This window comes from Homo sapiens, chromosome 10, assembly GCF_000001405.40.
Source record: "Homo sapiens chromosome 10, GRCh38.p14 Primary Assembly".
NCBI classification, from domain to species: Eukaryota; Metazoa; Chordata; class Mammalia; order Primates; family Hominidae; genus Homo; species Homo sapiens.
The window spans coordinates 15,676,996-15,704,829 of NC_000010.11; the positions used below are offsets into that span (position 1 = coordinate 15,676,996).

At 37.7% G+C, this 27,834-nt stretch overlaps 1 protein-coding gene across 3 annotated transcripts in view, besides 2 other annotated features; it reads right to left on the reverse strand.

Annotated features, from left to right (window-relative positions):
* ITGA8 (integrin subunit alpha 8) overlaps positions 1-27,834 on the reverse strand; it is a 205,969-nt gene that overhangs the window by 163,042 nt on the left and 15,093 nt on the right. For all 3 annotated transcript variants that reach the window (NM_001291494.2, NM_003638.3, XM_011519752.3), the window contains exons 3-6: positions 10,943-11,043; positions 7,009-7,132; positions 1,727-1,788; positions 597-642 (exon numbers count right to left, since the gene is read on the reverse strand). In NM_001291494.2, coding sequence (NP_001278423.1) covers positions 597-642; positions 1,727-1,788; positions 7,009-7,132; positions 10,943-11,043 — 333 coding nt within the window. The remainder of the gene's footprint in view (positions 1-596; positions 643-1,726; positions 1,789-7,008; positions 7,133-10,942; positions 11,044-27,834) is intronic.
* Positions 2,915-3,209: an enhancer, noted in NCBI's record as "tiled reigon #7083; HepG2 Activating non-DNase unmatched - State 24:Quies, and K562 Activating non-DNase unmatched - State 24:Quies". NCBI's record gives its function as "activates a minimal TATA promoter and a strong SV40 promoter by Sharpr-MPRA in HepG2 and K562 cells {active_cell/tissue: HepG2 | K562}" and the evidence as "EXISTENCE:reporter gene assay evidence [ECO:0000049][PMID:27701403]".
* Positions 12,313-12,814: an enhancer, noted in NCBI's record as "H3K4me1 hESC enhancer chr10:15731307-15731808 (GRCh37/hg19 assembly coordinates)". NCBI's record gives its function as "activates a minimal SCP1, AML or CMV promoter by ChIP-STARR-seq in primed H9 embryonic stem cells {active_cell/tissue: H9 hESC(primed)}" and the evidence as "EXISTENCE:reporter gene assay evidence [ECO:0000049][PMID:30033119]".

The following is a 27,834-nucleotide window of genomic DNA, read 5'->3' on the forward strand; positions in this document are numbered from 1 at the left end:
TGAAACTCTGTCTCAGAAAAAAAACAGAAAACAAATGAGAGTACAAATCGAAATGATGCTTTTGTTCTCACTCATACATGGAAGCTAAAAAAGTTGATCTCATCGAAGTAGAGAGTGGAAAAGTGGTTACTAGAGGCAAGGATGAATAGAGATTCAGGTATAGCCAGAGATGGGTTAATGTACACAAAAGTACAGCCTGGTAGGAGGAATAAGTTCTAACATTCTATAGCACTATAAGGTGAATATAGTTAACAACAATTTATCTCATATTTTTAAATAGCTAGAAGAGATTTAAAATGTTCCCAACACAAATGATCAATGTTTGAGGTGATGGTTATGCTAATTACCCTGATTTGATCATTACACATCATAAGCATGTATGAAAATATCACATGTACCCCATAAATATGTACAATTGTTTTGTCAATTAAAATAAAATATTAAAAGCAAAAAAAAGAAATAACGCTTCATTTGAGAAACTATGAATAAGGATATAAAATTAAGGTAATAGAAAGTAAACATTTAACACTACTTCTGGGTCCATCCTTCTGTTAGTAACAACAAATGTGCTTTTCTTGTCTGCCAACAGAACATACCTTGCCAGTAGAAACTCCCAGGTCCTCCCACAATAAGGTCTCCATTCTACAAAACAGAAACAGCAACAGCAACCATAATTGGAAAAGAAATACTAAACATTTTTAAAGGGTGATAAATTGTTGTTAATAAGCATTGCTCTAACAATTTGTTACACATAAAAAGCAATTTTTAAAAGAGATCCTTCGGAGGCCTGCAGTTCATTTTCTTTCCTCTTTTGTTTTCAATTATTTAGTGTGTTATCATATTAAATAATTTTAATTTGACTCAATTAGGTAAGTTGAACTCTCTCCCTTGAGAGAGATAAATTCTGTTTTTTGGCACTGCCTCATAAGCAAAATATCAACATGTTTAGTGCTGTGCAGTTTTGCAGACATGGTCTTTTGAGCCTTCGTGATAGAAATAAAATTCTGTTCCAATTTATTTCAAGGACATAGTAATGCCTATTTTTTTCCATACATCCCCAGTGCCACCCCCTTCTCAGGAGAAAGAGCAAACACTCCAGACTAGCAAATATAAACATTTTCTCATGAATTGACATCCTCACCTTTCGTGCCTCATATCTTTAACTCTCAGTGGAAAATATAAAAACAAAAAAGTAATGATAAAAAGAATGATAAAAGACAGTAAACAGTTTATACGTTGATGAAATTTTTCTATACTATTTTCAAAACCACAGAATCTTTTCCCTCTACATTCTTACTGAACATCTCTTTTTAATTTTTTGAAAGGATATATGAATTTTAATATTAATATTAAATGTAACTGGTCAATTACAGTTAACAAAACAATGAATAGATTCATGTGATCTTTTTAAGAAACATTACTGAGTTTTTTAGATTTTCATTTAAAAAATTATTGCCACAAAGGATCAGAAGAAAGGCTGTTGCTTTTTATCATGTCTATTTCTCTACTATTTAATAGGCCGCTATGTGCATAAATTATTTACATAAAAATAAAAAGTGAATGGAAAAATTTTTTTAGAAAGCATTTGCCCAAACAGGCTAGGTATGTTCCTCAAGATTCTTTGGTTCTTTGGTGGTGGTGGTGGTTTTGGGGTGTGGGAGTGAGAGGCAGAGGGTAAAAAAAAATCAGATTAAATATTAGGAACTGCGAGACCAAAATAATTCACCTTATAAAAATCCAGACTAAATCCTGCTTGGCAGTAACCCTGGCCTTCCGGATCAGCATTGCCTAGAACGATCAAAATACATAAATGTTATAACGTTATCATTCCTGAAATATTTTTTAATAACCAATTCAGGATATTATGTTATTTTCTCTAGAACCTTCTAAATTAAAAATGATCAATATGTGTTTTATGTTTATTTTTAAAATGTTGTTCAAGTAATTTATTAAACATATTTCTGTCTGTTTTCTTACACCAAATAGCGTTGTGATTCTCTAGTAAGATCAACAGGAATAACATCCCTTTTGGCTACTCTATTGGGTTTTATGACTCACTTTCATTTGAAGAAATAAAATCTCTATCTTTGACTATATTCCAAATTTCCCATGAGGCAATAACGTGTCTCTCTTTTGCCCCCTCGTGCTGTGTGAAGGCAGATAGGTCTGTCATTCCCAAAAGTTGACACCTTGAGGAAGAAGGGGCAGTGCAAGATGACCTTTGTAGATGTCATCTTCTGGGCCACCAATAAGCATTTCCACTGTTACGCTCTTTAAGAGGAACTTAATTTTAAATTATCCTATTATGGCCAGTTGTGGTGGCTCATGCCTGTAATCCCAGCACTTTGGGAGGCCAAGGTGCGCAGATCATGAGGTCAAGAGATTGAGACCATCCTGGCCAACATGGTGAACCCCATCTCCACTAAAACCACAAAAATTAGCTGGGCATGGTGGTGCATGCCTGCAGGCCCAGCTACTTGAGAGGCTGAGGCAGGAGAATCTCTTGAACCCAGGAGGCGGAGGTTGCAGTGAGCCGAGATCATGCCACTGCACTCCAGCCTGGGTGACAGAGCAAGACTCCAACTCAAACAAAATAATAATAAAAACAAATTATCCTATTATAATAGGCTAGGTAAATTGGGAAATTGCATTTCTGGTCACAGTCTCACTGGACATTGCAATGCTAGTGTTCACAAAAGAGAAAATTCTAGTAGTGGCTTATCTTGCTTTCTATCCAATATGATTCACTAACTCATTGTCCAATAGGATCTCATGGTACAGTTGTAAGCTATAGGCAGGCCAACACGTTGATTTCAAGGCTATTGTTATCAAAAGTCTGTAGGGCATTAGGACCAGGAATTTACTACTTGTAACTTGTACTTTAAAAGAGTTTCTACAACTTCTAACATGCCTAAAATAGCCAAAATGTAGTGAATTAAGTAGAGGGAATCTCAATCCTGCATAGTTAGATTTGGACATGTAAATAATTATTTCTTTCTTATCAAGGATATTCCTCAATGGAAACTGAAATAAGAGAACAGGAAAGGAAATACATGTCATCACAGGAAATATTGATGACTGGGCATGCGCCTGTTCAGAAGCTTTTTGAAATGGACCTGGCCTTTCCGGCTTCCCTTAGAATGTCTTCCGGTTTTTTCTTTCCTTTGGTCATTAGTTAGCTAGTTTTAGCGCTGTCACCATCAATTTTTTCCAGATGCTCCTTTTTTTTTTTTTTTTTTTTTTTTTTTTTGAGATGGAGTCTCCCTCTGTTGCCCAGGCTGGAGTGCAGTGGCGCGATCTCAGCTCACTACAAGCTCCGCCTCCCGGGTTCACGCCATTCTCCTGCCTCAGCCTCCCGAGTCCTTTATTTTTAAAAACACTTTTTAACCTCATGCACTGTATTTTAACAAAATTTGTTCCTTATTTTACCGCTATATTTCATGATTTATGGTCATGAATCCTATAAAGTTCCCTAAAAGCTCATCTCTATAATCTGGAATATCTAAGTATCAATTTTCTAGAAGCTCATATGTGTAAATATTTATATGCATCCAGAAGTATATATGAATGCATGAGATATTACTCTGAACATATATGTGTTCATATGTGTTTTTATATTTATTTTTCCATGCACAAGCCTTTTAAAAATCCCTTTTAAATTCAACCCTGACTTTTTATTTTTATGATTGTAAATTATTCGAAAGGGAAGAAACATGACCATTCTTTGAAAGTATTGCTTTAAAACAGCAGGCTGAAAAAAATTAAGAGAAAACATTCATTTTTTTTTTTTTTACAAAATACACTGAGAAAATAATCAGCTCCAAATGTTTATTGTAAGTGGCAATTATAATAGAGTGTGAGGTTCTTTCCATTGCAAAGTCTTTTTTTTTTTCCTTGTTGAATCATAATTTATGAGAGCTGAAGGACTCTTTCTTCCTGGGACTTCAGAGCATTTGTGAACTTGATAATTATGTCCTAGAGTGAACTCAGGAATCCAAGGAAGCATGTGGATAATTTGCTACTATTTGTTGACGTCTTACCCAACAAATGGAAGGGTGTGTGTATGAACCATCTCCACCTGAATTATGAATGACCATGAGAGCCATAGGCAGGTCATCAATATGAATGAGCAGGTAATGTCTAACAATATCAGCAGAGCGGGTTTGCGGTATAAGATTAACATGAGGAGCTTCTTTAAATTCTCTTTTGAAAATAATATTGCTGATGTTTCCTGTTCTGGGATACTGACCATATGCTCATGAACAAGCTGGCTTTGTGTTAATGATCTGTGAACTTCTTGGCCATGACGGGAAGTCTGCTTCTTGGATGATCTGAGGAGGAAGAAGTACCCGTAGGAATAGGGAGACCAGGAGGATGTGAAAACTGTGGCTATACACCACAAAGGAAATAATTCATGGCAATTTATTGAGCTATTCTGCAACTCAACATGTGCTCCATTCTGTCTTTGTTGAGCTGTTAGGCTACTGTGTCCATGTAGCTTAAGATGCAAATGTACATTAGTGTACTTTTTAAAAAAATGGTTCAAACTCACTCTGAAACTTTTCCCCTACAAGTCTGCATTTCATGTGCTGTATTTTGATCTGAGCCCTCACATCCCACACAGGTAGTCTGGCAAAAAGGCAGAACAAGGAGTGACTAGTTTTATAAATATCATCCTTCAAGGCAGTTGGAAGAATAACCTACATTATCAAGGCAAAAGGCATATGAAGGATGGTCTTGTCTTTAGTTACAGTTATTTGCTGTTTGTTGAACAAGCCAGCTTGTCCATGAGCATATGGTCAATATCACAGAACAGGAACATGGGCAAATCATGGAGTATAGGATATGGACAGGTGTAAATATTGATGAAAAGTTCAATAATGAATCTCTCCACTACCATTCATTTTCTGATATATTTTGGATATCCTTTGTTATTGTTTGTGGGATTTTATCTTTAGCATAACAATACTGACCTCTTAATAAACCCAAGAGCACAGCACTTTGAATGGAACATGACACAAACTATGCCTCATGTTGGTTGTTGCCTGAGTCCGGGAAGTTTCTCTCTTCTCTCCTCCAATAATCATTTGCTAGAAGAATCCCTTTCTATCGTCTTGTCTAAAATGCTGCTCCTCCCCTGGCTTCCCCAGCACAGGTCTCTCCCTTCTTTCTCGTCTTGCTGTATTTTTTTGTAGCACTTTTCACTGCCTGACATTGCATCATAAACACATTTATTTACATGTTTACTGTCTAGAGGCAGTTCCTTGAACAGGGGGCTTTTTCCCTCTTGTTCTTTGCTGAATTTCCTAAACATAGAAGAGTTAGTTTACTGCTCAATGTGTGGTTTTTCTTTTTAAAGAAATCCTGCATTGAATAAATAATTGAGTCCCATGAACTACAAAGAACCCCTACTTTAAAGCTATTTAAAATAAAATCCTTATTCCATGGACTATCCATTCAGCTGACATTTGTTGTAATCTGAAGAAGTGTCTGATTTACCTCAGTATTTTTAAACAGAAAGCAATAATCTTCTCCTTGTTAAAAATCCTCACTAAAAGCCATCAGGTTAAATGTTCAAGCCAGGTGTGGCGGCGCACGACTGTAATCCCAGCACTTTGAAAGGCTGAGGCGGATGGATCGCATGAGCACAGGAGTTCAAGACCAGCCTGGACAACATGGCAGAAACCCCTCTCTACAAAAAATACAAAAATTAGGCATGGTGGCACATGCCTGTGGCCCCAGCTACTTGGCAGGCTGAGGTGGGAGGATTGCTTGAGCCCAGGAAGTCGAGGCTACATTGAGCCATGATCATCACACTATTGCACTCCAGCCTGGGTGACAGAGTGAGACCCTGTCTCAAAAAAAAAAAAAAAAAAAAATTTCTACTGCCTGTTATTTAGGCTTCTAAATCTCAGCAGCCTCTTTGTTAACCCTCTAATATCACTAATCGATTTTTTCTCTTCATTTATTTATGGCATTTGATCATTATCTTCCCTACATTAATCCTGAAATTTTAAAAACACTCAGGCAAAAGGGGGAAAATTTACATTTTAGAGCTCAAGCTAATTTGGGATTTAGTGTTTTTTCTTTAAGTCAATTTCCTGAAATCAGTCCTAGAATCTTCTTTCTACTACATTTTCCCTCCAATATGGTCTTGTGAATTATCAACAAGAATGAAAATCCATAGGTATCTTATCAACAAATCCTAGTGATCTATCTGGCACACTGAAAACTGGAGGAGTTAATTAAAGGACTCTGAGTAGATGAATCCACCCATCCATCCATCCATCCATCCATCCACCCATCCACCCACCCACCCACCCACCCACCCACCCATCCATCCATCCATTATGCTATCCCAAGTCTGGGGTATTCAACAGAGATAAAGTGATTAAAACACAATGCCCCAAAGATGACACTCCCAGGTTTGCTTTAAAGACTGCTTGGCTGCAAGATTCCTAGAACTGCCAGATGAGATTTGAACTCTAAGTATACAGAGTCATTTTGAAAAAAAGGATTAAACATCTTAAGCAGAAAGGCATATCATGCAGACAATCTGCATACACAGCTGGTAAAGAAGAAACAGCCATTGAGAACACAAGCCAGACAGAAATCTCAAGTTGAACATATGCCCAGGTCCAACCATGCTAGCTAACACCGTTTTGGCAATAAACAAATAAAGTGGGCAGTCAGCATTCTTTAGGACACGGAACGTGAATTTTGAACAGCAACTGACACCTTATGGCCTAAAATAAGGAACCAATCAATTCTGCAAAATATCTTAAATCAGAAATGTTCTAAAACACAGAAGATCAGTAGAATTCCACGCTTTTGACTTGCTGTCACATCAAGACACCTGTAAGGCTGACAAAAATCTTTACCTACCCCCGAAGCTTTTTCCTTGCAACCCTGTAAGTTATCAATGGTGTTTTGAGCCTACCTGCACTCCTGTCTACGATAGAAAAGCACTTGAGCTAATGTCAGTTTCAAGGAATAAAAGTTGCTTACTGTTCCGGCAAGGAGAGAACTCGGCATAGGCGCTGAAGTTCTGAATTGCTACATAGCAGGTGCCAACTGGGTCCTTTTCTGGTGTCGGTTTAAGAGTTCTCCAGTGATATAAAGGAGCACAGGCCTAGGAAACATCAAAGACAAAAAAATACATTTTTGATGTAGGTTTCTCATACTACAGTTTTATTTGAATTATTGGTATAACAAACTGTTAAATTATTGGGTGAATTAATTGGCCTCTAGCATGCTAATGAGTGCCTTGGTCATCAGAGGTAATTAAACTTCCAAAACTAATTTTTAATGTTAACACACTGTAGAATTGGTGAAAATTAAATACATGCAAAAAAAAATGAGTTTTCTGACAATAGTTTTTTTTTTTTGGAGACAAGGTCTTGCTCTGTCACCCAGGCTGGAGTGCAGAGGCATGATCACAGCTCACTGTAGCCGCAACCTCCTGGGCTCAAGTGATCCTCATGCCTGAGCCTCCCAAGTAGCTGGGACCACAGGCACACACCACCATGCCTGGCTAATTTGTTTTGTTTTGTTTTTTGTAGAGACAGAATCTTATTATGTTGCTCCAACTGGTCTCAATCTCCTGGGCTTAAGTGATCCTCTTGTCTCAGCCTCCTCAAGTGCTGGAAATATAGGGAAGAGCCACAGCACCTAGGCCCCATAGAAATTAAATTTTTTTTTTTTGCCCGAAGAAGCAAGCAGAAATTAATTCCTAAAAGCGAATAACTCATATTTCTTTTCTTTTTAATTGGACCTACATAAAAGCAAATGATCATGTAAACAGTGAATTAATCAGTGTGATGTCTTATGAGAACAAGTTCCTTTCTGTGTCTAATTATTGCTTTTAAAAGATGACTTTCAAATTAAAGGATGCAAACAAGCTAGTAAACCTCTGTTTTGTGACGCCCCCTAGTTTATCACGGAAGCCGCATCTTATGACTTTTAAACAATGACTTTCATCTGGACGCACTTCTCCATTTTCACAGTGTTTTTGGCTTGGTTTTTCACTTCATGGTTTTTATTCATGGCAAAACTGAAAGTAGAAGCATCTTATGCCTGTTTTAGCAATTTTATCAGGGATGATCACAAAGTCAGTAAGAGAGCATGTTCATGAGCTACAAGCATTTCCAAGGCATTAAACACCACAGGTGAGGCAATTCAAGTCTCTGGCCCTCCTTGTTATGGAGAAATTTATCGAGATAAACTCCAGTGCCCTCAGACAATCTTTTTGAGAAAGGAGAGTTATCCAAATTATTTCATAAATGCCCTCTCCATTCTAAGGCGGCAAATAACCAAAGGGTTAGAAACAAAATGTCCTATGCTTATTTCCAGCTAACATATAGAGTGGTAAATTAAATAATGTTGCGTACTGTACAAATATTTGCTCATACTTTGGAACCTTTTTTGGAATTGATTTAACTGCCCACAGGACTTATATATGAAGGTTTGCATATAAAACTTGATTAATAGATGTATAACATGTTGAATTAAATGCATGCCTATCAGATAGAAGTTGAAACATAATTTTACAATACCAAATGATTATGCATTTGTTGTTATATATTTGCTTTTATGATTTATAATTTGTCATATCAGAAACTGATTTGATGCCTCATCCATGCCTTTTCATTTTCAGAATGTTGCTTTAGAGAAAATAAGACATACTTTATGTCATTGCCTATGACCCCTTTTTAGAATTACATTATGGTAAAAAGAGGGAACTGCTTCTGAATTAGTTTGCCTAATATCAGAAACATTATCGGCAAAAATAAATTGAAACAACAGCAAGAAAAACATGAAATGATCTGGCTGCTTTTTTAGAAGTTTAGATTCTCACAAGAGCACTGTATGGAAATCTTCTTCAAGTAAATGAAATAACGAGAAATCCTCGTCAAGTAAATGAAATAACATTTTGTTAGGAATGAGAGAGGAAATAAATGCATATAAAACATTAGCTTGGTTTGGACTTCTGTTTTTCTTGCCTGAACCTTCTGTAAATATTGTACCTGATTCTCCAAATACTCATCTCTAAAGACAGAATCGTAGAACACAGAGCTGCTAGCCTGCCTTCTAATTTGATAGTATGGTATCACACTTAATTCCAGAGAAGTGAAAAAAGATTCCAATTTGAAAGTAGTCTATGCTTCCAAATCTGTCCTTGGTAATTTGGCCCAATGTATAACTATTTTTAGTAAAGATAACTCCTAGTCTCAAATAAATTACCCTTCTACAACTTCAGTTGTTTGGTTTTGCCTCTCTATATATTGTAAAGTCTTGGCCAATACCCCAAAACTCTCTAACTCTTCTAGGTTCCCCAAGTTATCTGGTTCATAAATTCAGCATAAGGTGCAGATGCGAAAGCACAGGGAAGTCTACATCATGAAGCATTCACTTGTGTAGCTTGATCTTCTCCAACTGGCCTCACCTTCTGTTTCATCAAAAGGCATTTCATGCCATGAAAATTCTTTCTAGTGTTTGCCTGATATTAGCTCTAAAAAGTTACTCTTTCAATCTGCTCAGTTTCACATTGATGTGAAACATACTGATGGGACATATTTAGGCTTTGACCCAAACCCGCTATGTATACCCATGGTACCTGGATATACAAAAATGATACTTCTGGAGGTAGGATTTTGCAGTTATAAAATTATACCATATAGGAAAGAATTTAAATGTTCATTCTGCTAAGTTTCAGCACTCAAAAAATTTAGCTTGAAATATACTCTGTATTATCCTATTTCCCATCACGTATTTTAGAAAATGCAGGCATGCCAAAAATTAATCATTTTTTATTATGAACACGGTGTATTATTGTAGTTTCCATTGTTTTGAGGGTTTCTACAGTTATTGAATAAATATGCAACTATTATATGTTACAGCTAAAATTTCAAGACACACAAAAAAATCAAAACAGTATCCAAAAGATTTTTAAAGCCCCAAACAGTTATTACAGAGTTAATTTTTCAACAGCAATTCCCATAAGGCATATACCACCTTAAAAAGTTCTTACAAATTCTGGAATGTGAAAATTATATTAATGCAAAGACAACTCTACAAAAACTATATTGTGAATGTTGGATTTCTTAACTGGAGAGGGCTGTATACTCTTTATACCTTACCTGTTTTATGTCAAAATCTTTTTGGGGTTAACAGACTAAATAAAGTAAGGCATTTCCTTTAGATACTTATTCTTATTAAATCATAATTCAAGTAGATTTCAACAAATCCTAAAAGCCAAAGTTATTGCTTTATTGTTGTAAGGAAATTAAAGCCAATAGGTTGAAAAAATCCCCAAACTAAAAAAGACTTCCAGATTACTTCAATAGTCATTTTCTTCTCGGTAACTTAGACATGTATCATTGCTCAGAACAATAAAATAATAGAATTATTAAGTCATAGCACTTTGAAGCTGAAAGATTATCTATTTGAGAATGAGTGTTTTTACTTTAAAAAGTATTAATGAACTCAGAGAATCATGCAGTTAGCCGTTTAAAAATTATTATGAAAGACAGCTTTCCTTTCGGTGTAAAAAGGATCAATGAAACCACAGCAGATTAACTTAGCATCCTTATGGGAATAGTCCCATTTTTCTGGTCAGATTTTAAGTAGCCCCTAAGTCAGTCTTAAGCACTATAATATTTTACCACTTTAAGATGTAGCTTTTACTTTTCTTAGTTGTTTTTGAAATATTTGAAAATATTTAACTGCTCTTCTGGAAAACAGGCTTTATTTCCTATAGCTTTAAACACTAAAATACATTCTTTAATTTTAAGCATTTAGTTGCTTTTAAAATGCCAACAGCCTTATCGTTGAAAGTCTAACATGTTCCTTTAGGAAAGAGCTTTCCTAAACATGAGCTTGAAAACATTCCAGTGCACACCATACTCCAAAGCAGCAGCACAAGCCCACGGCTCATACTCACCACAACTTTTCCTTTGTGAGCTTTCACTGTTGCTCCAAACCACTGATTGGATTTGAACTCGATAGGTTCTTTGGTTCCATTAACTCTGATCTTTCTGTTGTCTGTCAAAGAAGATAGGAAGAGTTAATAATTTGTAAAATGTGGCAGCCAATTAAAACACATAATAAATTTGTACATTAAAAATACTTGAACTAATACCAATCCTTGTCAAACTCCTCCAAAAAAATTGAAAAGAGGCTGGGTATGGTGGCTCATGCCTGTAATTCCAGCACTTTGGGAAGCTGAAGCGGGACGATCACTTGAGAACAGAAGTTCAATATCAGCCTGGGCAACATGGTGAAACCCTGTCTCTACCAAAAAATACCAAAAAAAAAAAAAAAAAAAAATGCTGGGCGTGGTGGCTTATGCCTGTAGTCCCAGCTACTTGGGAGGCTGAGATGAGAAAATCACTTGAACCCAGGAGGTGGAGGTTGCAGTGAACTGAGATTGTGCTGCTACACTCCAGCCTGGGCGACAAAGTAAGACTCTGTCTCAAAAAAATAAAAGAGAAGGAAATAATCCAAGGGCCAGCATTATCCTGATACCAAAGCCAGACAAGGGCATTACAAGAAAAGAAAATTACAGGCTAATATCCTTGATAAACATAAGTGCAAAAATCTTCAACAAAATACTAGCAACTCAAATCCAACAGCATGTTAAAAGTATCATTGATCATGTTCAAGTGGGATTTATCCCTGGAATGCAAGGATAGGTCAACATAGCAAATCAATACACGTGCTACCCCACATTAATGAGATGAAGGGCAAAAACCATATGATCATCTTAATAGATGCAGAGAAAGCCTTTGACAAAATTCAATTTACTTTCAACATAAAAACTCTTTAAAAGTTAGTTATAGAGGGAATGTACCTACACACAGTGAAAGCCATACATCACAAGCCCACAGCTAACATTACACTTAGCAGTGAAAAGTTGAAATCTTTTCCTCTAAGATCAGGAACAAATGCTCACTCTCCCCACTTCCATTCAACATAGAACTTTTAAGTCCTAACCAGAGCAGTTGGGCAAGAAAAAGAAATAAAAGACATCCAAATCAGAAAAGAAGGTAAATCGTCCCTGTTTGCAGATGACATAGTCTTATATATAGAATGCCCTAAAGATTTCACCAAGAAACTATTTGAAAATGATAAACAAATCCAGTAAAATGGCAGGACACAAAATCAACATACAAAAACCCCATTTACAATAGCATTTAAAAAGTACTTAGGACAGATGGCATCAGCCAGATGGCAGACTAGAGGGGCCTAACACTTGCTCCCTTACAAAAAAGGACCAAAACAATAACAGACAACTACATTGCAACCAGACTAACTTAAGGAGATCGCTGGAGAACAGCAAGGGAGTGGCAAAAACCCTGTGAGAATAGAAACTCCGGATGGCCGCAGAGAGAAGTGATCCACCCTCTCGCCTCCACCATTTCATCTCCTAAGCCAGGATGAACTCAGAACCAGGAAGGAAAAGATGAGCAGGAGGCCTCCTGAGCCCCATCACTGTCGTGGACACCTGCAGTCTTTGCTTCGGGAGAATTCTGCAGTCCTCACAAGCCCTGAGCCCAGCTGGGGAGCTACCTGCATTTCACACAGCAGCACAACTCCAGAGACGGAGCTCACTTTGTACCCCACTCCTGTGACCAGAGCAGCTACTGCACTGAGCCATCTGGAAACAGGAGCCACTGCTAGAGTGCATCCCGCTCTGGGGGCCACTAGCCACTGCATCCCTCCATCCTTGAGGTTCTGCCATCATTCACTATCCTCACACAGACACACAGCGTGCACCAATCCCCAGCCAACCTGCTGCAGCTCCCTACGCTCTGGGCCCTTCATCTGCCCATCCCAGTTGCCACTGTGCCCTGCTGCCAGCTACTCAGAGTGTGGGCCCAGCAGAAAAGCTGAATCCAAACCCACAGAGGAGCTGCACCCCTTCGGCGCCAGAACCAACTCATACAATGGAGGGCTGAGCTCCAGCACTTAAGGGAGCTTTGGTCCCAGGGAATTGATGCTTTGGTGCAGAGGGGCAGCTGTGACTCTGCACTCGAGCCCGTGCTTTGCCCACCCTCTCCGGGAAACTTAGCTTTCTCTGAGCTGTACTACCCAACTATTGGGCCAAATGGCAGCAGCACCCACCTCCCTTAAGTGCTGGAGCTCAGACCTCCATTGCATGAGCTGCTGAGGCTCCCCACCTCCCTGGGGAGTGAAGCCAACATTCGCACCCGGCCTCACAGAGCCTGGTCCACTGCTGTGTCCAGCACTCCAGGGTTCAAAGTCAACATTGTGGTATTTTTTCTCATATGCCCTGTTGGCTCCAGAACCTGAATTGCAGCTGTGCCCTACTTTCCAGGGCCTGAGCCTCTGAAATACCTCTTCCTCTGCAGAGCCATGCCAGCGCTGCACCCTCACACCCAGGATCACTGTCATAGCTCCATCCCTGCCTCCTGGGCCTCGGCTACAGGTGAGTGCTGCAGTCACAGCCCTTGGCTTGGTGGGAGAGCTGCATCTACCCACACCTGAAGAGTGAACCTGTGCCCTCGTCACAGGGGCTACAGTAGTTCAAAAACAGGACCCCAGTTCCACAGCCACTCTGAGCACCTGTGCCTGAAACATAGCACCCCGTGGCTGCCTGCAGTCCATGTTGGACCCAACACAAAGAGGGATCTCCTTGGCTATGTCTTCTCACTGTAGGAAAAATGAAAACAGAAAGATTTCTGAAACTCTTGCTATCAAAAAGCCTAACAACTTACTTTGCCACCACCGTGTCCACAAATCCTGCTGTCATCACTGATGTTAATCACAGCTGAAGAAGCTTCAGAGAAACTATACTACTGCACCCACCTAGAACCAGAGCCAATGCACGCTACCCAACCAATCCCCTAAAAAGCTTTTGCACAGCCAAGGAAACAACCAACAAAGTGAAGAGGCAACCTATGAATGGGAGAAAATATTTGCAAACTATACGTACATAAGGGGCTAACATCTAAAATACATAAGGAACTCAACAGCAAGAAAACAAATCACCTGATTAAAAATTAGTCAAAGGGCCTGGACAGATATTTTATGAAAGAAGGCATACAAACGGCCAACAGGTATATGTGAAAAAATGCTTAACATCCCTAATCATCAGGGATATGCAAATTAAACCTCTGTAAGACATCACTTGACCCGTGTTAGCAGGGCTATTATCAAAAAGACAAAAGATAACAAGTGTTGTGGAGGATATGAAGAAAGGGACCCCTAGCATACTCCTGGTGGGAATATAAATTAGTACAGATGTTATGAAAAACATTAAAGGAAGTTCCTCAAAAAATTAAACATAGAGCTACCATATGATCCAGCAATCCCACTACTGGGCATATATCCAAAGGAAAGGAAATCAGCATATTGAAAATATATCTGCACCCCCATGTTCATGGCAGCACTGTTCATAAGAGCCAAGATATGGGATCATCTTAGGTGTCCTTCAACGGATGAATAAAGAAAATGTGGTGTGTATATGATGGAACACAATTTTGCCTTAAAAGAGGAAATCCTCTCATTTGCTACAACATGGATGAACCTGAGGATATCATGCTAAGGCACAAATAATTTTGTGCCTGAAACAAGCCAGACACAAAACCACCGATATTGCATGATCTCCCTTATATGTGGAATCTAAAAAAGTCAGGCTCATAGAAGCAAACAGTAGAATGGTAGTTACCAGAGGCTGGGGAGGGCAGAAGGGATTGGAGAGATGCTTGTCAAAAGGTACAAAGTTTCAGTTGGGATGAGTAAATTATGGAGATTTATTGTACAGAGAGGTGACCAAGAGAATAGATTTTAAACATTCTTAATATACACACACATATACACAAAAGGCAACCATGCTAGGTAATGAATATGTTTATTAGCTTGATTTAATTATTTCCCAATGTATAAATAGATCAAAACATTACATTGTACACGATAAATATATACAATTTTTTTTGAGACAGGGTCTCACTCTGTTACCCAGGCTAGAATGCAGTGGCACGATCACAGTTCACTGCAGCCTCGACTTCTCTGGGCTCAAGTGATCCTCCCATCTCAGCCTCTCAAGTAGCTGGAAATACGGGTGCATGCCACCATGCAGGGCTTTTTTTTCTTGGTAGAGGCAAGGTTTTGCTATGTTGCCCAGGCTGGCCTTGAACTCCTGAACTCAAGCGATCTTCCCACCTTGGCCTCCCAAAGTGCTGGGATTACAGGTATGAGCCACTGTACCCAGCCTTATACAGTTTTTGTCAATTAAAAAAAAAACTTGAGCACCAATTTTCATATAGAGGGGGATTTCTCTTTGTTTAAGTCTAAGAGCATGACTCCCATTAGATAAATATGACATGAAAATATGTATTCAACCATGACATTTCACAACTTAAAAGAAGCATTTTCTTAAGATTTGCATTTCAGAGGTAACTGTTTTGCAAACTTAGTGTAGACTCTGGTATCCTTGAATCTACACTTCAGTTATTGATTTCATATTGAAGACCATATATTTATAACTGCTCTAAATATTTCCAAATCTTTCCCAATAGTGAAACACATGGGATTCTGCCTACTCTGAATAACAGAGGCTTCCCAGCATGTGTTAGCAGGAATCAGCATGAGGGACTCCAAAGTCTTGGTTTTTAACTCAGTAACACATGTCTACACAGCCACAGTAGATAACACCTCAACACAATTGTACATACACTTTGCAGATGTCAGCATGAGTGGGGCCATCTGGGTAGAAACTCAACCCAATTATAACACACTTTAGTTCTTAATAAAAAGCATGCATCTTGGCCAGGTGCAGTGGCTCATGCCGGTAATCCCAGCACTTTGGGAGACCAAGGCAGGTGGATCACTTGAGGCCAGGAGTTTGAGACCAGCCTGACCAATATGGTGAAACTGTGTCTCTACTAAAAATACAAACATTAGCTGGGCGCAGTGATGCACATCTGTAGTCTCATCTACTCAGGAGTTTGAGACATGAGAATTAGTTGAACCTGGAAGTGGAGGTTGCAGTGAGCTGAGATTGTGCCACTGCACTCCAGCCTGGGCAACAAAGTAAGACTCTGTCTCAAAATAAAATAAAATAAAATAAAATAAAGCAAAACATGCATGTTTTCTTTCACTCTTGATTGCACATTCAACTATTTCACACATGGTTCTAATTGCACAGTTTTAACTAGAGCTTTATCAGTAATAGCTAATGAGTTTCAAAAGACATTTGTACTAAGGGCATCTTATTTGTGTGTTTCCTGTGGTTTGCATTTTATTTTTTCTTCCTTGACTTTATAAAAATACATTACAAAATAAACTTTTTATTCCTGTTAAGTGAGGCCAAAATAAACATGTAATTAAACTTTCAATTGAGTTTACTTATGATTACAGACTGTTTAAAGAATAAATTATACATACTCAATCTTAACCTAAAATTTACATTTTGACATGTTAGTAGAAAATCATGAATTTCCCTCTTAAAAATCTTATGCTTTTGATGTTTCCAGATGTTTTTAAAAAACAAGTTCTGGAAATCCTCACCCAAAGTGCACATGACTAACAAAGAATTACAGCATCTTACAGTTTGTAGCTTAAACTGGAAAATATAGACATTTCTATTTATGTCTAGGAAGCTTGGAAGATGATAGAATTTGAAGCTGAAGATTTCTTGCCATCTCTGACTAGGTTACCTTGGGCAATTCATTTAATCTTTTGCAGTTTCGATTTCTTCTATAAAATGAGGCTGAGAATATATTCCCCTTCTCCTGCACAGGTGGTCATAAAGTCACGAAGGTTCCATGAGATAAGTGATCGTGAAAGTTCTTTGTAAATTGGGAAGTCATAAACAGAAATCTTGTAGCAATACAGCTGAAGGTCCATAGGTTTTTTTTCTTTTTAAATCTCTTAATGACAGATAGCTTAAGATAGTTGAAGACAGCGTAAGTCTGTGTTTTGGTATCACAGCTTGGTATCACCAGCTTAAGGTATCCCCCCTTAAGCTGGGATGTTGATGTTGTACTACAGAGATCTTGCAGCGTTACAACTACATGAAGGTCAATGGCTTTAATATATACATATTTTTAAAAATCTATCTATATTATATTTATAATATACCTATATATTATATATCATATATCTATATTATATAGATAATATATCATATATCAGATAATATATCATATATCAGATAATATATCATATATATGATAATATATCATATATATGATAACATATCATATATATGATAATATATCATATATATGATAACATATACATCAGATAATATATCATACATCAGATAATATATCATATATATGATAATATATCATATATATGATAATATATCATATATCAGATAATATATCATATATCAGATAATATATCATATATGATAATATATCACATATCAGATAATATATCATATATCAGATAATATATCATATATATGATATATCTTACATTTATATTTATAATACATCTATTATATATAAAATATATCTATAATATATAAAAATGTATCTAATATATTATAGATTTATAATATATAAAAATGTATCTAATATATTATAGAGTTATAATATATAAAATATATAAAATATATAAAATGGATATATAATATAGTAAATATATTTTATTTATTAATATATTTATATAATATATTTTAATATATATTATATCTATATTTGTCGACATATATATATATATATATATATATGTCGACATATGTATTTCTCTCTTAGGAACCTAGAAATTCAACCTAAGTCCAAGAATTCAAAAGAACCCCCCAGACACAAAAGTATAATATGTTGTTAGTAGTGACTTGTGGCACTCAGGAATGAACTTATGACACCTCACAACATTGTCAATGTGGCTTAGATTAAACACAGGGAGAAAGTGCTAGAGTAGTCTTAAAATTACTAACCACGAAAAGGAGACCAGTGCCTCAAAAATTCAAACAGAGTTAAAGGAGATCGCAGAAGGACTTCAGAAGAGCAGACTTCAGTGAGGAAGGAAATGAATTCTAGGGGAAAAAATAAGCCAGCTCTGAACGGGACCTTCCTTTGCTAGTTAAAGTTATGTAATTCTGCCTGTGTGATTCCCAAGATATCCTTTCTGCCATTATAGGATGAACTGTGTAATAACTTGATTGCAAGTGTCAACTGGGCAATTTGGCAGTAATATTTTTCTTCTGGACCAAGGGTACAAATGAACGGGCTTCATTAATTTCATATCCAATCCAGGGATTATAACAGAGCAGAATTGCACTGTCCCAGGTCTCTATGTACTGAGACGAGTTTTTAATCTGGTGTGTCCTCCTCTCATTGACCTTTGAAGTCAACAAATCACCTTTCTAAAATTCTGTTTTATTATTTCAATAAATTATCTGACTTTGAACCTAACATTGTAATTGAATAAAATTTCAAATAAGTAAGATATATATGGGTTGACTCTGAAGGTGCGCTTTCCCTAATTTCTTATTTCTCTTTTCTAAGCAAGGTTCTTTCATGCCAAATAAGCTGACACACTGCTCAGTACTATGTCAACCTAGTGCTCAATGAAACTATGATGCATGGAGGATGTTTTTGATTTAATTTGATCTGACCTTTAGTGAAAACTACTTCCAAGTAATGTCTGTCAATACTCAGCACTGTGTTAGCCCTTCCAGTCTCTTCTCTTTATGGCAAGGACTGAAAGTATGGAAAATACATTTCCTAGACTTTCTAATGAGCAGGATTCTGAATGAATGAGAGGCTCAGGAGAGATTTGAGAACAGGGAAAGAAAGAGAAGCCATGGTTTTCTGGTGACAGCCTCAGGAAGCATGTGGACATCAGCGGTGACAGATGTGATGTTCTTCCAGCAGCTCCCACATATCCTCCTGACAATCACCTCTTTAGTCCTTTGGACAGCAGAGATCAAGTCCTGTGATCCCTGAACTTCCAAATTCCTTGATCTGCAGGTAGCAACTTTCCAGACTTTCACACCCTATCCTTGCCAACGTCCATGAAAGCCTGCCAGACTCTGCGTGAAATTCCTTCCTAGTTGTAATACTCAATGTGCTTTCTGTTTTCCTAACCAAACCTGCTGACTGACATGGGACAACGCATTTAGGGTAGGGCCGCCTGTCGTCTGAAGCAGAAGGAAGGCATCGGGTTACCCCGGGAGGACTGTCAACCCCACAGAACGCAAAAGGACCAGTGGTTCCGGGAGAGGATGGAGCCCGTTAGTTACCTAAGCGAGCCTCTCAGCATATCACAAACTACGGAGAAAGCAAAGGCAAAAGCTCAGAAAAGCTTTTATAGTGACTGCATACAATGTCAAGTTTTCTAAGTGGCAGAAGGTGATTAACAAAACTAATAAACGAAAACCAAAGTGAAAATTTTTCAAGAATAGGAGGAATATATGTAATATGTAAGAGTCCCCAAATCAATGAGAAAAAGACTAAAATTCAATAGAAAAAAATTTCTAAGGATCCGAACAGGCATTACAGGTAAAAATAAATTAGCCTGAAAATTCAGAGAGACAACCTGAGCCTCAAATTAAAGCAGTAATAACTTACCACTTGTCACTTACCAATCTGGCTCCAAATTAATAACATTTGCTCTACTTCAAGACAATAATTTCATGCTGAAGTTTGGAACAGCCATTTGGCACCACATATCCTAATTTTATATGTATATTTCCTTCTGATCAAAAAATTGTTTCAGTATTTTGTTCAGTAGAAATAATAACACAGTGGCTCATGCCTGTAATCCCAGCACTTTGGGAGACCAAGGCAGGAGGATCGCTTGAGGCAGGAGTTCAAGGCTACAGTAAGCTACGATAGTGCCACCGCACTCCAGCCTGGACAACATGGCAAAACCCTAACTCTTACCAAAAAAAAAAAAAAAAAAAAAATTAGCCAGGCATAGTAGCCCATGCCTGAGGTGGGAGGATCAGTTGAGCCTGAGAGGTAGAGTCTGAAGTAAGCCAGGATCGTGCCACTGTACTCTAGTCTAAGTGACAGAGTAAGAGTATTCTGTCTCTAAAGTCTCAGAGTAAGTACTCTCTTGTCTCTAAAACACACACACACACACACACAAGAAATAGTATGAAAATATTGCTACACTGTGACACCAAAAACTGGAGCAACTTAAATGTTTATAAATAAGGGACTCAAAAAGAAACATCTGCTATCTATAAGATAGACTAAGATTCAACTGTTATACACATATGATTTGTATGCACTGATACAGAAAAATGTTTACACAATACATGTATTTTTAGCTTTTCTGAGGTTTTTTAAAAGTACAGAGAAATATAAGGACTTTAATACATGAAACACAGGTATTCTCACCAGGAAGAATCAATAATTGTGAAGAATGGACAATGTTTTTAAATTGCGATTCACAAACATTACGGCACGTTTTGACACCTGTCCCCCATTCCATTCCTCTTCCCTCCTCCCCGTCCAGAGGTTGCCACCATCAGGAATTAAATGTATGTGTTTCTGGCCATTTGAAAAATAATGTCATGAATAATACAGGGCTGTGGTCTACAGTGCTTTTCCTGTAAAGGACTAGATAAATGTCTTAGGCTTTGCAAACTGTATAATCTTTGTCACAGCTACTCAATTCTGCCCTGTAACAAAAGCAGCCCATAGACAGTATGTTAAATAATGGGCTTGGGCTTGGCTGTGTTCCAATAGAATTTCATATAGGAACATGGAAATCAAATTTTATATAACTTTTATGTGTCATGAAATATTATTCTTTAAAAACATATATCCAGCCATTTAAAAATATAAAAACTACTCTCAGCATATAGGCTGTGCACACACAGATGGTGGGCCAGTTTTAGTTGTAGTTTGCCGACAGTTGATAGAGTAGTCTTTGGTGCAGTCTTGTGAAGTAAAGAAAAATGGTATTATATTTTCTTCTTAAATTTATTTTTTATTTCAATAGGTTTTAGGGGAACAGGTGGTGTTTGGTTACATGAGTAAGTTCTTCAGTGGCGATTTCTGAGATTTTGGTGCACCCATCACCCAAGCAGCGTACACTGTACCCAATGTGTAGTCTTTTATCCCTCACCCCTTTCCCACCCTTTCTCCCAGGTCCCCAAAGTCCATTGTGTCATTCTTATGCCTTTGCATCCTCATAGCTTAGCTCCCACTTATCAGTGAGAACATACAATGTTTGGTTTTCCATTTCTGACTTACTTCACTCAGAATAATGGTCTCCAATTCCATCCAGGTTGCTGAGAATGCCATTATTTCATTCATTTTTATGGCTGAGTAGTATTCCGTGGTGTATAAATATACCATACTTTCTTGATCCACTCGTTGATTGATGGGCATTTGGGCTGGTTCCATATTTTTGAAATTGCAAGTTGTGCTGCTATAAACACACATATGCTAGTATCTTTTTCATATAATGACTTCTTTTCATCTGGGTAGATACCTAGTACTGGGATTGCTGGATCAAATGGTAGATCTTCTTTTATTTCTTTCAGGAATCTCTACACTGTTTTCCATAGTGGTTGTACTAGTTTACATTCCCACCAACAGTGTAAAAGTGTTCCCTTTTCACAACATCCACACCAACATCTATTTTTTTAAAATTTTTTAATTATAGCCATTCTTGCAGGAGTGAGGTGGTATCACATCGTGGTTTTGATTTGCATTTCCCTGATCATTAGCGATGTTGAACATTTTTACCTATGCTTCTTGGCCATTTGTATATCTTCTTTTGAGAATTGTCTGTTCATGTCCTTAGCCCACTTTTTGATGGGATTGTTTTCTTCTTGCTGATTTGTTTGAGTTCTTTGTAGATTCTGGATATTATTAGTCCTTTGTCAGATGTATAGATTGTGAAGATGTTCTCCCGCTCTGTGGGTTTTCTGTTAACTCTGGCAATTATTTATTTTGCTGTGCAGAGTCTTTTCAGTTTAATTAAGTCCCAGATATCTATCTTTGTTTTGGTTGCATTTGCTTTTGGGTTCTTGATTATAAAGTCTTTGCCTAAGAAAACATGGCATTTGGCTAGGCACAGTGGCTCATGCCTGTAATCCCAGCATATTGGGAGTCCAGGAGGCAGATCACCTGAGGTCAGGAGTTCGAAACGAGCATGGCCAACATGGTGAAACCTCACCTCTACTAAAAATACAAAAAGTAGTTGGGTGTGGTGGCACATGCCTGTAGTCTCAGCTACTCAGGAGGCTGAGGCAGGAGAATTGCTTGAACCTGGGAAGCAGAGGTTGCAGTGAGCTAAGATTACACCACTGTACTCTAGCCTGGGAGACAGAGTGAGACTGCATCTCAAAAACAAACAAACAAAAAAACAAAAACATGGCATTATATTTTCTGTACTTAGCAGTTTGTACTTGTGTTTTACCCTCAGTTTTATGTTTGTGAGAAATATTCATGAATAGATAGATGACTAGCTAGCTAGATACATAGATATATAGAAACATAGATGAGTGAATGTATAGAAAAACAGATGATAGATAGATACATACATACATAGATCAGTCTAGCTCATTCTTTTTAACTCCTGTATAGCATTGCATCCGATTGAGTAATAGTCTACATTTTATTTATCCATTCCGTTTACATATGAACATTTGTGGGTTTTTTTCCAGTTTTCCCACTTCTACTCTGAGCTCTGAACATTCATATATCCACCTCCATGTGCCTATGTACAAGGGTTTCTCTCCAGCACCCAAACTAGGAATGACATTGCTGGGTCATAGAGAATGATCATATTCTTTTGATTAGACATGGCAACTGATCTCCAAAGTAGCTACAATTTTATGCCCACTAGCAGTGGAGGAGTGAGGGATTCTCAACTTTTGTTATTACAGGAGGACTTTTAAATATTTTCCAGTCTAGATGACCATGGAATGGTACCTCATTTTGTTTTCATTTGCATTTTCCTGACTTTTAGTAAGGCTGATCATCCTTTCCTGTTTGTGGACCATTCACTTTTTTCTTTCTGTGAAGTGCCAGTTTATATTCTTTGCTCATTCTCTTGTTTAGTTATTAGTTTCATTGATTCATAATTCATATATTTTTGCCTACTGATTCTCTTTCCCACATAAATGTGGCAAGTATCATCTTCCAATATTTTTCTAGTCTTTCAACTCTGTTAATTGGGATTATTGTCCATCTGGAATTTATTCTTGTTTATACAGTGGCAGAGATACTTTTCTTATTTCAATATGAAAAGCCACTTGCCCCCACAGCACTTACTGAGCAATCCATTTCTTCCCGGTGATTTATAGTTCCACCTCTGCAATAATAAAACCTGACTTGGCCCAAGGGACCAACATTGTCTGGCCCCTGATTGCTTCTCCAATCTCAGCATCTCCTGCCTCCCCATGCTCCTCAACCTGCAGACACACCAACTTCCTGTCCTGTGAACACACCCAGCATTTTCAGTCTTGCCATTGCATTTCCTCTTCCTGGAATGCTCTTCCCACAGTGCTTCACTTGGCTGCCTTCTTCTCATTACTCAGATGAGAGTATTGTATGCTATCGCAGTAAACATGCAAATAAGATGTCGCATGCAGTAAACATGCAGCCAAACCAAAGATAGATAGCTGGGACTTAATTAAACTGAAAAGCTTCTGCACAGCAGAAGAAATAATCAGCAGAATTAACAGAAAACCCACAGAGCGGGAGAAAATCTTCACAATCTATATATCCAACAAAGGACTAATATCCAGAATCTACAAAGAACTCGAACAAATCAGCAAGAAAAAAACAAACAATCCCATCAAAAAGTGGGCTGAGGACATGAATAGTTCCAGTACCACATCCTCAGAGACACAAGCCCTAAGCCACCAGTTCTGTCTACTCATTGTCATTCACTCTCCCATTACCCCTTTACATTGTCTTCATAGTGCTTACCACTATCTGAGATGATCGTATTGGCATGTTTACTGCAATAGTATACAATACTATATAGGAGTTAAAAATCTATGTTTTTATATAGGTATTATCTACCCTTTGAGAATATACATAGATTCCACAGAGATGTTGTCTGCTTCACCTCTGCATTTTCCAGTGCCAAAAACATAGTAGATCATCAGTGTTTGATGAATGAATAACCAAGTTCCCATCTATTCATTCAAAAATTTGTCAAGGGTACATTGTTCAGTATGATCCCACTTTTCTTTAAAAGTCAAATATTCTATGCATGGATGTGTATGTGTGATTGTGATTGTGCTTGTGTGTGTATGTATTGACACTAACCTATGAGTGATGGTTATCTTGAAAGCAAGGAATATACAGGTGTCATTGGCTTTTATATTTTCATGGAGTATATTTCTGAATCGTTTGAGCCTTTACCATGAGTATTAGTACATCTGTGATCTGAAAAGGGGAAAACCTAAAGATAAACTGAAAAGATGTATAAGTCAACCCGGGAACTTTAGATGGGTGGTATCAATACAATTGATTTGACTCATCCTCCATTTCTGGCCTTTGAAGCTATCTCTCTGAAATTGGCAGCTTTTGGTTCTTTTTTTTTTCTTCATGGGAATATGCATTTCAGAGCAGGAGTGAGGGGATGTGGAATATGGTGGACACGTGGGCTGTAAGCAGATTTTTCTAATCTTTTAGCCTAGTGAAATGAGAGGAATTACACGAAGTGAGGAGAGATCGCCCTGGGACAGAAGAGAAGAGTTGTAACTCACACAGGTGTGACCAAACATTTTGGCAGACAGGATAATTTTTGAAAACTATTTATAAAGCCCCTGACCCAGTAGAGAAAACAGTAGGTTTCCCTACAACCTTCAGTCATCACTTTAAGTTTGTCTCCTTGGAGATTTTCTTAAAGCTGTTGCAGGAGCTATCCAGACCTTTTTAATCATGAAAAGGGTAGAAGAAATCCTTAACCATTTGTTTATAATCTTTATCATAGTCAAATTTATGCTATAAAAGTTTCTAATTGGAATGATGCATCTGAGAACAGGGAATACTCGTATGTATAATTCAAAATAAAACAGCCTTGGCCAGAGAACTCCTTGTCTACAAGAAACAAATCCAAGAAAAGGACCTGGATTGATTTTTATATCACAGAAAATTAAACTTCCAAATGTATGGCTCCCAATACTCCAAAACCACTCTGAAAAACCTTTAAAGAATATCACAGTTTTCCTTACGATGTTCGAGAGATGTGTTATTTTGATTAAATGAGTATTTTATGATCTATATCACGTATGCATACTATATACAAATATGTGCATGCTTACACGCACATTAAATAATTTTCTTATCTTTACCTGATAGATCAAATATAAATACCCTGCCCTCCACACCTGAAGATTTTTTTTTTTTTTGAGATGGAGTTTCATTCTTATCGCCCAGGCTAGAGTACAATGGCACTATCTTGGCTCACTGCAACCTCCGCCTCCCGGATTCAAGCGATTCTCCTGCCTCAGCCTCCCGAGTACCTGGGATTACAGGTGGCCCCCACTGTGCCCAGCTAATTTTTGTATTTTTGATAGAGATGGGGTTTCACCATGTTGGTCAGGCTAGTCTCGAACTCCTGACCTCAGGTGATTCACCCACCTCGGCCTCCCAAAGTGCTGGGATTATAGGCGTGAGCCACCGCGCGTGGCCCACGTGAAGATCTTGACCCCACAGCCTGAGCTCTAGGTATTGGTTGGGCTTCCTTTCCATTTGGGTTAACTTTCTTTCTGTTCCCTGTTGAGTCTCATTCCATGGCCTTCTTTCAGACATTTCTTTGGTGAAATTCCTTTTTTCCTTGTTTGCCAACTTGTTCAAATCACTCCTTAAAAGCCCATTTTAAAAGGTAGGGCTCAAAACTATCTTTTCAAATTGAAATTCTTTGAGATTATTGTTTCAAAATTTTCAAACAGTACAAAGTAACAAAACTTGTATAGAGAACTGTATAAGGTAGCAAGTGAAAGGCCATTAGAATACAACTCCCTGGACTTAGTCACTGTTCAGTTTGGTAAACTCATTCAGAATTTAAGAAGCTTGTAGACTATTCCTCTAGTTCATAGTGAAATAAACTATTCTTTCCTGGAAATCATGAAACTTCCCTTTTAAATTATTTGTTCATATCGCTATTTAAATATTAAGTTTCATATATAATCGAATACTATAATAACAAAGCTAAGTGAGCTAAATGCATGCTTTTAGAGTTTTAATAATCATTTTCATAAACATGGGCTTGTAATAGCAACAGTACAGATTATATTAGTCTGCCTATTGTATAGTTTTCCTGATCCGGATGAGAATATAAATTTTCTGCTGTAATTATTTTCATGTCTAGACTGTCTTCCTTAAGAACAGAGATCACATTTCTAACTTCCTGTCTTGAATAACCAATAGTGCCTAGCCAGTGTTCTTCAGACAGTTGCTTGGTAGTAAATATGAATGGCTTTTCCACATCACATACTATCATTCAGAATGTTTTTCACATATAAATTGACTAAGTAGTATGTATGATTTGGTCAGGAAATACCTATGGATTATACGATGCAAATAATATTTTGGATATAATGCAAGGGAAATTGGGAGTTGAGAAATGAAAGAATTATCTCTTCCAAGGGAAATGATAAGTTATCTGTGCCAGATCAGATTAAAAACAAAAACAAAACCCCCAAGTATGATGCAACAGTGTGACACACAGAGCTGGTTACAGTGGATTGTACTGACTGAGACAACGTTGACCTCATCTTCTGCAACTGACTTCACTACATCCAATAGAGGCTGGAACAGTTTTTTCTCTCATCTGTCCATCCCAGAGACAGACATGCACACACGCACACATAGGCATGCTCAAACACACAGACACACCATTCTTCAGCTCCAACCTTTTATGTTGTACTCTCTGAAAATCCTCCCCCAAAACACAAAAGCCCCCCATTGATTCAAGCACATGAGTCCTTATTTTGAACACCTGAAGCCTTCTTCACTTTCTGCTGTTACAGCACTTAAGACCAGATTAGAACTGCCAGGCACTACTATCTCATCAAAGTTGAATATTGTGAGATCAGAGGATGTCTGTCTTGCTCACTATTTTTACCTAATATAATGGTAACCCCATTAACCAAGCCAGAACCTTGGAATGCATCCTTGACGATCACCAATCTTGCACTCCCATATTTCAATGAGTCATCAATTCTTGTTGATGCTTCCTTTTGTTATCTCCCAAATCCATCTACTTCTTTCCATCCCTGTTGCCACTTCCCTAGTTATGGTCAACATTTTCTTTAGCCTCTGTTGCTGTGACAGCTTCCTGACCAGTCTGCCTTCCTCCAGCATTGCCACCTTCAAATCCATTCTCTATCCTGAAGCCAGAGTTATTTCTCAAATGCACCTGTTTCTTAGGTGCACACTACTGCACCTGCTAATTTTTTTAGTAGGGATAGGGTCTTGCTACATTGTCCAGAGTTGTTTCTTTCCAGAGTTGTTTCTCAAATCTCAACTTTTCTCAAATGCGAAACCAGGTTTACAAAACCCTTCCCCTGTCAGTATCATCTTTGTCACTCTCAACCACGATGGTTTTCTTTCAGCTTTCTTCGTACTTGAATCTTTCATACTTTCTTTCACCTCTAGATTTTTTTCACACTTGGAATAATTACCTAGGATCACATATCGTAGTCATAGGTACAGCTGGGGAAATGAGAACTCTCAATATGGCTTCAATGTCAACTTCTGATGGCCAGGAACACAGCATGCTTCTGTTTAGTACCCAATCATTTATTTGCTTCAAGAAGTAATGAAAACCTCTCAGCATGGGCATCTCAGGAAGGTGACTCACTGACATAAATTTCTTCAATATGACCTCAAAGGAGTGCTTTTAAATACAGGATAGGATTGGGTTTCA